Source organism: Homo sapiens, chromosome 17 (genome assembly GCF_000001405.40).
Source record: "Homo sapiens chromosome 17, GRCh38.p14 Primary Assembly".
Classification (NCBI taxonomy): Eukaryota; Metazoa; Chordata; class Mammalia; order Primates; family Hominidae; genus Homo; species Homo sapiens.
Window position 1 is genome coordinate 48,615,958 of NC_000017.11, and position 11,826 is coordinate 48,627,783.

General features: G+C 55.3%; 1 protein-coding gene across 1 annotated transcript, besides 3 other annotated features; it reads right to left on the reverse strand.

Moving 5' to 3' along the window:
* Window positions 1,553-2,076: an enhancer, noted in NCBI's record as "H3K4me1 hESC enhancer chr17:46694872-46695395 (GRCh37/hg19 assembly coordinates)". NCBI's record gives its function as "activates a minimal SCP1, AML or CMV promoter by ChIP-STARR-seq in naive H9 embryonic stem cells {active_cell/tissue: H9 hESC(naive)}" and the evidence as "EXISTENCE:reporter gene assay evidence [ECO:0000049][PMID:30033119]".
* On the reverse strand, window positions 5,199-10,401 carry HOXB9 (homeobox B9). The gene is made up of 2 exons (NM_024017.5): window positions 9,796-10,401; window positions 5,199-7,178 (listed from the first exon to the last, which is right to left on the reverse strand). Exons 1-2 carry the CDS (start codon window positions 10,310-10,312, stop codon window positions 6,943-6,945), a joined length of 753 nt encoding a protein of 250 aa, NP_076922.1. The 5' UTR covers window positions 10,313-10,401; the 3' UTR covers window positions 5,199-6,942.
* Window positions 9,254-9,931: an enhancer, noted in NCBI's record as "H3K27ac-H3K4me1 hESC enhancer chr17:46702573-46703250 (GRCh37/hg19 assembly coordinates)". NCBI's record gives its function as "activates a minimal SCP1, AML or CMV promoter by ChIP-STARR-seq in naive H9 embryonic stem cells {active_cell/tissue: H9 hESC(naive)}" and the evidence as "EXISTENCE:reporter gene assay evidence [ECO:0000049][PMID:30033119]".
* Window positions 11,342-11,497: a silencer, noted in NCBI's record as "fragment chr17:46704661-46704816 (GRCh37/hg19 assembly coordinates)". NCBI's record gives its function as "represses an EF-1alpha promoter that drives an FKBP-Casp9 reporter gene in an ReSE screen in K562 erythroleukemia cells {active_cell/tissue: K562}" and the evidence as "EXISTENCE:reporter gene assay evidence [ECO:0000049][PMID:32094911]".

An 11,826-nucleotide genomic window follows, 5' to 3' on the forward strand; every position in this document is an offset into this window, starting at 1 on the left:
CAGCTTCGATCGCCCCCGCCGCCCGATTGCAGCACGGTGGGGGTGACGAAGCCGAAATGAGAATGATTATGGGGATTTTTTTTTGGCACAAACGGTGACTTTTCTGAGATTTTCACCTCCTTCCGTCCTGGCAAGCACCTGCCCCCACCCCTTCTCTGGAGCCCCCAAAAGGTCCCTTCTCTGCCCTGCCCTCTCTGCCCTGCCCTGGCCAGTCACAAAACTTCCTCTCATTAAACAAATAAGCAAAAATTTTCTGTGAAACAGGGATCTGGGAGATCTTGAGGAGGGAACGGGAGGGAAGAAGAAACTTTCTGGTTAATGAGCAGTGGTTGAAGCACAGAGCAAAGTTCGAGCTGCCACTGCCGATTCTGCAGGTTTGTGCACTCTCTGCTTGCTGAAAAGGGGGTCTCCTGAAGGCCCTTCAGCCCATCAGCACTTTTGAGGGCAGACTTTGCATGAAGGGAGAGGGCCTGATGCCATCAGAGGGATGAAGCCCCAATGGGCTACCCGACACTTGCACCCAGGCCTTGGGACCCAGTAGCCAAGCCCAATTATTAATAGCTCCCAACCTTCCCAGGCCGACCCCCACACCTTCTGCAGTGCCTAAGGGTGAGAGGGGACCACTGAGCCCATCACTGCATCAAAAGGAAAGAAGGTTGGGTATCAGGCCCTGGCACCTGGCCTTCGTGTCCGCTGTCCTATGCTCTCAGCCACCCTAGGCAGTGCCTGCAGAGTATGTGTTGGGAGGGCATCTATTAGTCCTCAGTGTCCCCAAGACCTTTTGAGCCACTGTCACCACCTAAACTGACTTGGGTGTGGAATTCAGATAAAGCAAGGTTGCTGAGTCTCCCATTTTCTCTCCTTTCGCCTTGGGGAGCCTGTAGTTAAACCTGGCTCTCCCTGCAGACCTGGGAACCAGAGGTCTGAACACGGAAAGCTGGAACAAGCTGACTGGGTGCCACACTCTGTGGCCACTGCGTTCCCTGCCTACCCGGCTTCACGATGGTGGTGGCCAGGCTTTAGAAGGCCCCAGTCTGAGGGTCAGAACCAGTAGCCTCCTGTAGCAGTAGATTGGCAAGGGAGAGGAATGAGAGACAGAAAGAAAATTTTGAGCAACAAAAGTGGAGGCTTTACAAATATATTCAATCCATTGTTTATTCAGGAAACAGTGGTTTGTTTTTTTGACGGGCACCTTTTGGGGACCCCATACACCCCAACATTTGTAAAAATGAAACTATCACTTTTCCAAAGGGAACCTTACCAGTGAGGTCATTTGGTTCTTCAAAAGTGAACCTAGAGAATGAGAGAGGGGCTAGAAGCGGGAGAGAGATAAAGGAAAAGAGGAGGAATGGAGAGAACCAGGGCTTTGAATTTTCAGCGCGTGGCTGAGGGGACCGTGAGGCAACGGAGGGCCGAGTTAAATTGTTGCCGAAGCAAACATTTTTATCAAGTGCAGAGGATTTTATGGTCATTATTTGAAAACTCACCGGCGAGGTACAAATTCAATGGCTTGTTCTAAATCATCTCTACACCGTGCCAGAAATTCCTGATGGAAGGAAAATGTTTCTGTTATAGGAAAAAAAAAAAAAAAAAACGAAAGAGCGAGGAGACAATTTATAAACACCCAGCGGAGCGCAGATTTATTAGAGAAACTCAAGTTGAGGAGAAACTCCGCTTACCTCCTTGCACTAAGTCCTGGTGGGGGAGAGGAGAGGCTGCAGCTGGGGTGATTTTGAGGGGGTGGGAGTATCTATTGCTGGCGCAGGTTTGTCGGATGGAAGGCAGGGATCCGGCGGGGCCGGGAGGACACAGGAGATTTGGAATGCAAGGGGCTGTGAACAACCAGGGTGCGGGTCTCAGAACGAAAGTGCCCGGAGTCCAGACCTCCAGCTGCTCAATGAGGAAAGGACCGGCGCCCCCAGGTTTGCCTGCGGCCAGGGCCAAGGCGCACTGAAGCCGCACCTCTCACCTGGAAGCCCAGGAACCCAGGGAGAACAGAGCTCCTGCGTCCTGACGCCGCGCCCGCCTTCGCGCCCATGGGAAAACGCGCATTCTTTGGGAGCGCGCAAAGCATCCAGAGACCACATCCGAGCCTTCCCGCACCCTGCTGCCCTGGGGAGCCCCTGCCCCGTGCCTAGGTCGCCCTGCGCGAGCCCAGCCCAGCCCTGGACTCATACAAAGGCTCCAGAGCTTGCGCCCGTGCGAAGCCGCCCTGCCGGCTTTGGGCATCTCCGAATCCCCACAAAAGCTATGGCTCCATTCCCCCACACACACAAACTGGGGGGTCTCGGGCTGGCTTACGTGATTTTCTCTCCAGCCGATGGGCAGCTTCCTCTCCATCCTACCTTCTTTTGCCGGCTAGCCCCTCTCACCTGACCTGCTGACCCGCATCCAGGGACATTCCTTTCGCCTCCTTTCACGGAAAATCTCGTTGTTTCGAATCAATTCTCCTTTTGGATTTGGACCCATTATTCCTATTATTACTATTATTCCCCGTTTTCACGCATTTGTTGCCCCACCGAACACAGCAACTGGGTGAGAATCACTGAGCCCTCCTCTTGGGGAAAATTCAGAAAATTGACCATTTGAGGAGATGGGGGAACACTACTATAACTGAAATCTATAAAATGGGGGTAAGGCCATAACGAGCCCTATTTTTTTTATTAGGTACAAATTATTCATGACTTTTGGTAGCACTCAGTTCCTGGATTCAGGGCCGACCAAGGCGCGGTGCCGGGAGCAGACATCCGCAGCTGCCGCTCCAGGGAGTTTCACATGGAGCAAGGGTGCCATCTAGCGGCTGCTCTGCGAAAAGGCGCCGCAGCCACCGGCTCCACCAGTTTTCTGGGAGAGCAGCCGCAGAGGTGGCCAGCAGGAGAAACTTTCATAACTAGCAGTAAAAGGGGAGGGATAGGGAGTGGGCATCGGAATCAGGAAACGGTTCATGAAATTGTGTAGATAAGCTAAAAAATAGAAAAAAAACACAACAGAGGGGAGGAAAAAAAAGAAGCCCTAAGCTTTTTTCTTTCTACGTACACCTCCCACCCCTGCCCCTAATTTCTAGCGGAGACCGCAAAGCAGTGCGCCCTTTATGGCCTGTAAAAAGGGGGACCGAGCAGTTTTCAAACTCCACGCGATTGTTTCAAATTCTGAGGAGAAACAGTTGGGCTTTTTGTCGGGGGAGAGGAGGCCTGAGAGGATAGGATGAGACTGTAAAAGAATCAAGAGGCTGCCCGCGCCCAGACGTCTGGCCCCGCCGGACCTGAGTGTGTGTGTGTGTGTGTGTGTGTGTGTGTGTGTGTGTGTGTGTGTGCGCGCGCGCGCAGGAGGCTCCTCGTTTCCGACGCCTGATTCTGGAGGGGGTGTGAAGAACAAAGACAAGAGCCCCAGTTGCAATTTCTGAAGCATTTGCGACAACAAAGTGTTCTTTCCCGGCTTCTCTCTTCTCCCTCTCTGCCCCCTGCCACCCCCCGCCCCGGAAGCCCGGAGCCCCGTGTTCTGTGCGGGTGAGGGTGAAGGCTGCCGGAGCGGGGCCCACCCATTCCCCCGCCAGGCCGGGAGCCCCGGCCCAGCTGCGGCTCTCTCAGCTCCGGAAAGTTTCCCCTCGCTGTTTGCTTTGCTGCTGTTTAGTTTCTTAACCTTCAGAAATTTATACGCTATAAACTTTTATAGCGGTCATATTATTTTATTGCTGCGCACACGGCATTGAATTCCTCTCCCGGCTTCTCTCTGCCTCGCACTCTGGCGGTGTCCCTCTCTGAATCTCTCTTTTATGACAACTGATTTCCCCATCTCCGGCTTCCGAGCCTCCGCATCTTCGCCTTTGTTTGTCTTTAAAGAAGCAGCCCTGGGCTGGGGACCCAGACGCTGCAGGCAGAGGCCCCTCCAAGCGCCCTCGCCCCTACCACGCAGCACTCCCCTCTGTTCCAGCCTCGCTGAGCGTTTGCTTTAGGCAGAAACCGACCTTCTGTCTTTGCTGTCAGCACCGGCTGGGCCTGGGTAGCCCAGGATGGGGCAGGAGCCTGGTCTACACCAGCTGTAAAGCCAGATTCATTTTGCATCCCTAATGAAACCCTCTTTGGAGGGTGCCTGTCCGGGCCTGCCTGATGCGGAGCTCCGCTTTCTCCTGCCTCCCGCCGTCTCTTGGATCAGTTCGTCCTTTCGTTGGAGGAGGGTAGGCCTGGCCTTTTCACTTGCAGTCTCCCTTCATTCGGGCCATGCTTCGTTCCCAACTCTACCCCAACTCGCAGGGTCTCCGCGGGCCGCAGTGTTGCCGGCTTGGGTTGGGGAGAGGCTCCTGAGGTAGGCGGGCTCGGGAGCGCCGGCCCGCCGAAGCGGAATCCCAAGGCCTGGATGAGAAGCGCAGGCTGCCGAGAACTGCGATCTTCATAAGAGGCTCTGGCGAAATCCCTCAGTCTGAGAGGGACAAAAATGTGCCTCTTGAAACTGAGTTTAATTCTGGGGTCCTTTTGGGAGGTGAATTTTTCTACTGAGACATTTCTGCTTCACACTCAATGACCTCTCCACCCTTTGCAGAGGTGCTTACCCAGGGCTCAGCCCCTACCAACCCAGCCCACCTCAGACCAAGGCTGCTACCCTGTGGCTCAAACTGGAGCCTCCAACCCCAGGTGGGGGCCGAGAACCCTAAGGCGTTGGCTCCCTTTGAATGGAAGGAAAGAGATTCCAGCCCTCTGGAGGCCTCTGTCTAGACCTAGGCACCCTACTGCAGGGAAGAACAGAGGGAAATTACTGTGTTCCTCCCTTGCATCATATTTTAAAGCGGCCAAACTAAGGTGACATTCTCAGTGGCTGAGGGAGGAGAGCTACCCCCAGGAGGTGCAGGAAGACCTACCTTCCCTCCTATTCTCTAGTCAATGAGGAGGTTTCAGGACCTCATTGCTCCCCAGACCCTGTGCCCTCTCCAAACAACCCACATTTCCTTCCCTCCCCGCTCGTTTTCCAGTTCTCCTGTTGGAAGGCTCTTGATCAGTTTAACCAGTAGTCTTGGGACCTGGGGTCTGGGACTGGCTCTCAGCTCCACCTCTAGAGAGCTCTGCAGGGGACCTTGCCCTGCAGGGTGTAAGGAGAAACCTCCTGGACTCAGCAATCTTTTTTTTTCCAAGCCTTTCTCCCGACAACTGGGATCTCTACCTATGGTCAGGCCCAGAGAGCCAACACAGAATAAGACACAGGAGAGATTTATTTTCTAGAGTGATATATATTTTTTGTTCTTTTTCTTTTTTTCTTCCAAAACAAACAATTAGAGCTCTAGGCCCCTCGCCCTCCCCACTCCCACCCAGAACCCTCCCATATAATCGACAACTGAAAACAAGCGAGACAATCACCCCCAAAGAAATCACGAAACACAAGCACAATTTCACGACAGCCACCGACAAAGCAAAAAACTTCTACTGGAATGTCCCCTTGCAGGATCAGGAGAAGCAGGAGCAAGAGTCTACAAATTGAAGGGGACTGAGAAGTAGGGGAGCAGGGGGAGGAACGGAAGCAGAGAGTAAGCTTCCATCTGATGCTTAGGTGCCATTTTGCCCCTTTCCTTTGCACGCGGGACTGTTTCCCAGAAGCGCGCGCACGCACCAGCCACGCAGATCTGCATCCAGGCCCATGAAGCAGGAGGCCAAGCCCGGCCCTGGGGCGGGTCTCCTTTGGCGCTGGGGCTAGAGCCGCCAAGCCCGGGGCTTCTCTGCGTGGGTCGAGAAGCCGACGGGATTCGGAGGAACGCGCAGAGCGTTGCGCGCTGGGGCCGTTGCTCCTCCCTGTCCCAGACCACTTGTCCCGGAAGGGAGCTTGGGAATCGATTCACAATAAATTCTCATTCGGACTCTCCTGGCCTGGCTTTCCTGTCTACAGTGGGGTTGACCTAGCGGGGAACGGAAGGTGGAGGGATTTTTCTACAAGGGGCGGCTTGACTTGCGGGTGCAAGGTGGATACGACCGAAGAGAGTTGATTTCAGAGCTAGGGAGGGTGCGGAAGAATGCAGGGCCGGTCGAGAGCAAGAGAAGCTACAGTCTGTCAAGTGGTGCACAGATGAACAGGAGGACAACATTGTCAAGGCTCTACGACCCACAGTTTGACCTTCTTTTGTTGGAAGGAGAGGGAAACATCATGCGGAATTAAACATTTCCTGCAACAAAATGTATATGTTGGTGGGAGGTGGGGAGTAGCTCCACCTAAGATAGCTTCATAAAACCACGTGCTGCCTTTTCTTGTACTTTCTAGCCCACCGGCTTGGGGGCTAGGTTTGCTCCATCTTCCCCATGGCCCTTGGCCTGAGAATAGTTGGCAACTCCATGGGAATGGTATGGCAATGCTGCAGCCTTTGGGCTGCAACACCTCACTCAGGAGTCTGCCTCTAGACATCTCCCTGGTGGGTATTTGCATTAGGGGTAGAACCCGGGCTTGCCTGACAGTCTGAGGGCTGTTTTGCCAAATTTGGTGTGCGATGGTCTGCAACTGGAGTGTCACCTCACTTGACTGAATGGTGGTTGTGAGCTCACCCCATTACTGTGTGTGGATGTCTGCTGAGCTGTGTAGAGTTGGAGTGTCCCTGGGTGACTTTTGGGTGGGTGTAGAGAAGAAACAGGCAAGCTGGAAGTGAGGGGCTAGGACTTCCCAGAAAAATTACAGGGCATACTAGGAGCTTGACTGGGGTCTCTCTTTCCTTGTGGCCCATCACATTCTTAGGAACCAACTATTTCTATCTTCTAAATCAACAAAACTTTCTCCTGACACCTAGAGAGAAGAGAGAGACAGGTAAGGGCAAAGGAAAGGAGGGAGGTTCTAGGTGCAGATAAAGGACTTGGAAGAGAGACTCCCTTCCCCATTCACTTGAATACATCCCAGACAGCACTGGCTTTGCAGTCGTCACATAACTAAGAGTGAGATGGGGAAGAGCTAGGGAGGACTGGGGGTAATCTTTAATCTTTACTCTTTGCCCTGCTCCTTATTCATTTTCTTCATTTTCATCCGCCGGTTCTGAAACCAGATTTTGACTTGTCTCTCACTCAGATTGAGGAGTCTGGCCACTTCGTGCCTACGGTCCCTGGTGAGGTACATATTGAACAGAAACTCCTTCTCTAGCTCCAGCGTCTGGTATTTGGTGTAGGGACAGCGCTTTTTCCGGGAAGAGCGAGCGTGCAGCCAGTTGGCGGAGGGGTTGGCTGAAAGAGAAGCAGCGATAGAATCAAAGAAAGGAAGGGGGTGAAGGGCCCCAGATCAAGAGGGCACTCCCTTGGTCTCCACTCCCCATCTTGCACTGGAGAAGAGGCCACCTGGGTCTTCAAGCTCCCAGGAAGGGTGTCACAGATGGGCCAGCCATTGCTATAGACACCTCCAGGTGAGAGGCTGTGTGGAAAGGATGGAGCCAAACGTGGGCCCAGGCTTCCTCAGCACTTCCAAAGCTCTGCCTACATCAAGTTCCCTCTCAATTTTTCTCTACTTGGGTCCAAACTGCTTAGGACTCAGGTCAGAGTTCAGCATGGTTGAAGTCCCACCAGCAGCACTCCCAGGCTGACTAGGGGTGGGTGGCTGACCTGAAGGGTCCTGGCTCTAGGAGGTGAGAGGAGGAGTTGGGTGGGGAAGTGAGATGTCTGTTCAGTCACTGCATTTGGGGTGTCACTTCACCCCAAGAGACCTCTCAGCCCTTCAGTCCAGTCCCAATATCCCCTGCCTTGATCACAAACAAGCTTGTGTCTCTAGACCACATGGCAGCAGGCATGTGTGTCTGCGTAGAAATCTCCCCCCCTGCCACCACCACACACCACGAATATGGGTCTGCACTTAGAGCCACAAACAGCCAGCACACTCCAATTCACACGCAATGCAATTGCAACCATTTATCAACTCCAGCTTATGGACAGGGGAGCACTGGGGGCTCACAGATAACTTATGGTTGCAATAGTCTCTCTCCTTTTCAGCTCCTGCTCAGCTCACAGTTTGGTTAACGCAAGTGCAGGGAAATTAGGGAATAAAATTGCTCCAGTCCCAAGGTGGGGAGCCAGGGGTGATGTGGAGGTAAAAGGAAGCCCTTCACAGCACACCTAGCCTTAATTGATCCTATGTGGGGGCTGGAGGGGAGAAGAGGGTAACCGAGTGGAAGAGAGGAAACAAAAATATATACAGGCTTCTCTTCTTACCTTCTCTCCCCCTACTCTGGAACTCAAAAAAGTTGCCAAATAAAGCTAAGCCAATTAAAAATAACAGCCACCAGCTACTAGCTTCCTTCTCCCCAAGTGAAAAACACTGGATTTTTTTATATAAAAAATTTGGTTCATCCTACACTAAGTACCGTGTCTTACCAATTTGCAGCGCTATTTCCTTAATGTGATTGCCTGGGATGGGACCCGCAGCCGCATTAAATATGAAAGAGGGAAAAAACTGTTAATAATTGATCCTAGCCAAATGGCTGCCTTGCCATAATGGGCTTTTCAGGCAGAATTTGGGGGTTTAGGGTGGGGGATCTGTTTGGGAGTGTGCGGGGAGGGTTGGGGAAGAATGTGTTCCCTAAATGCCAGCTCTTAGGATTCCACCTGGCAGGTTGGAGGTGACAGGACCCTGCAAGGAATGGGGCTGCTCTTTACTCTCCAGCAGGCAAGGATGCTCTAAAGGGCCCTGGGGCCACTCCGTCAATGGGAAATCTAGCAGGGCAAGGAGAGACTAAAACATCCCTACTTCCCAAAAAGAGTAAGAAACGAGGACCTGATCCACCAGCCTGCGAGTCATTGTTTGAGGCTGAGTTCCCTCACCGATGAGCCCTTCTCAACCTTAAAAATAAATAATAGGAGAACCCTCTCTTCTCATCTAGTAGCACCTCCTGAAAATCAGCCAGACTTGGCGTTCTGGCCGGGGTGCTTTTGAGGAGTGGGAGGTGACGGGAAACTACCCACAAAGGGTAAAGTTCTCCGCCTCTCTGCAACTCTCTCTTCCCCCCACCCCTCCTCTCCCCGGGGTCCCTTCGAGATGCCCCGATATTCGGAAGCGATTCCCCGACTCCCCAAGAGGCGGACAGCCCGGGCTGGGGCTCGGGAGCCCCGCAGAGAGCAGCGGGGGACCGCAGAAAAGGAAGCGGTAGCCCCTGCGAGGACGCCGAGGAGGAGAGGGGCCACCGGAGGGAAGGCTCCCGGGGAGGGGCCGGCGCATCCGGGGAGGGGGCTCAGTCACCGCGTCCTGGGCTTCCCCCGCCCCTCCTGTCGCCGGTTGCGGACTCTGCGCGGCTACAGCGCGAGATCTGCTAGGAACAATCCTCCGCCAAGCTGTTGCATCGCAAATAAAATCCTAATGAGCTCCCTCCCCCTTCCCCTTGGCCGGCTTTTACGGTCTGCGCGTGGCGCGGGGAGCTCTGCCAGCCGCACGGCCCCGGGCAGCCCAGTGCGCTCCGGCCCTTGCCCTCGCCGGCTCTCGGCCTCGCTGGCCGCTGGCCCCGGCCCCCGCCAGCTCCTCTCCCGGCCGTCGCCGGTCTCTGGCCGGGCTTTCAGCTGGGGCCTCCGGGAGAGAGGGGGAAAGAGGGCCGAGAGAGCTGCAAGTCGATCCCCGAGCCCCTGTTCCCCGCAGGACTTGGAGAAGTGGGGGCAGCGCTCCTCTGGCGGCCTCAGTCTCCCCTTCTAGAGCACGCAGCTTTCCCCTTCCCTCCGTCTTTCCTTCCTCTCCCCTCCTCCTCCCGGCCCGCTCTCCGGCCACCGCCGCAGTTTCCCTTCACATTGTCCGCAGTTTATTGCCTTTCCCCTCCCCGCCCCCCTCCTGGCCTTCGGCCTGGGTATTTCCTCACTTTTTATAACTTACTTTGATCCGGCCTCTCTTTGTCCTCGCTTCCTTCGCAAATTTTATTGTCCCCGTAGCCGGGTCTTTGATTAGACAGCACGGCCTCCCTGCCCGCCGAAGTTTCCAAACTGTACTCGGGCGTGCCCTGTTTGAGCAGCTCCCCAGGCGCGCCCAGCAGCGGCTCCGCCTTCACCGCCGCCTGGCCCTGCCCCGGGGCCGCTTCGCCGCGCGGCGCCGGCTCCAGCCAGGTGCGGAGGTACCTGCTCTCGGCCGGCGGGACGCCCTGGGGCTGGATGTAAGGGTGGTAGACGGACGGCAGGCTCCCGGACGCGTGCGGGCTCAGCGGCGCCCAGGAGGCGCCGAACACCGGCGCTTTGGGCTGGAAGCTGCACGAGGGGAACTCCAGGTGCTCCGCGTGGCCCGGCTGCCGCGAGCTCGCGTACTGGCCAGAAGGAAACTTGGCTGGAGGCGCGTCCTCACTCTCGTGACTTATGATCGAGTCGACATAATAGCTGCTAAGCGTCCCAGAAATGGACATTCTCAGACATTATCCGGGCGCTTGCAGGGGGAAGGGAAGCGCTCGCGCGGCGGCGCCCAAGCAGGGAGAGGTGGCACCCGGACCGGTGTGAGGGCTTTCGGACGCGACCCCCCCAGCCCCCCACCCTCCCACCCCCACCCCCTGCTCAACTTCTCAGCCAACAAAGTACAGTGGAGCAGCCCGTCTCAGCTCTCCTTGCAAAATGATTGGTCAAAGTTTTTCCGACTGCCTGATAAAGCGTCAGCTCCGACATAAATCAATCGGGCGAGGGGGCTGCGCTCTCGCTGTCATCCGTCCGCACCGCACTCCATATCGAGGATGGATTGTTTTATGCTGATGCAATGTGCTATCACGTCAGGGCTCCGGCGGCCACGTAACCTCAGCCCCAGCTACCGGCCGCCCGGTCCCCCCCTCCCGCTGCAGGAAGGGGGGCAGTTCTCAACATGGGGCGGCGGGGGCGGAGGAGAGGCGGAGGGAAGCGGCGGGCTGCCTTGGGAGGGACGCAGGCTGTAGAGCCCTCTCCCCAGGCGGGTCGGGGAGGGAGGGAGAGCAAGGGCGGAGGGAGGGAGAGAGCCCCAGCCCGGGGAGAAGCCATAGAGGCCCGAGAGGATACTGGAAGAGGAGGTGCTCCTGTCCCCCCACACACACCTCCACCCCGCAGGCCCTCATTTCCTCTTCTCTTTCCCCTTGACAAAAGATGTTTATTAAACAACAACAGCAGCAGCAATCCACAGGAGATGAAGTAAAATGATGAGGGGAAAAGTTGGGGATTTTAGGACGTTGTCCGCTTTGGAGGGGGCTCTCCTTGCACTCTTTGTAGAGATTTACATGACTGCGAGCTTCCCTGGGCCCCTCAGTAGCTGAGGGAGGAGGAGAGAGGTGAATAAAACGACTGAGTGTCCAAGAATCCACTATCTGTCCTGAAATTAGAAACTACTTGAGGTTAAAGGGATCCATCAGGTCCCGGAAACGTGAGCCTAGGAAAGAGTTTAATACAAGGAACCAGAGCGCCTTTACATTTATTGGGCCTTTCTCTGACTCTGGCCAGAAGGATGGATTTAAGATGGTGGTGGTGACGTGGGGGGTGGGGGTGAGGGAAGCCATTTCTCCTTTTCTCCACTGAATAACCACCCAGGCCCCTAAATTTGCCCTGATGAGGGAGCTAAATAGGAGAAAGGGTTAAGGCCACTTTCCTGAGGTGTGACCAGAGCAGAGGCCTGGGAAAGGATCCCCAGTCAGCAAGGGAAGGGGTCCCAAGTTATCTCCCCTTCCATCCAAAGAGGAAGGAGCCTGGGCTGAGTTTTCAGCCCTCCTGTACTACTCCTCTCACCTGAGGCTCCTGCTCTGGAGATTTCCAAACACCGATATAGGGGCCAGTGTGGACAGCGAGCCCATGGTCAGTCTCTTCCCCTCACTGCCTTACCCCCTGCAGACCCCTTCATTGGAGCTTCCAAATAGCCCTTTTTATATATATCTATTCTGTGGCCCTGCACAGGGACTCCCCCGGGGCCCAC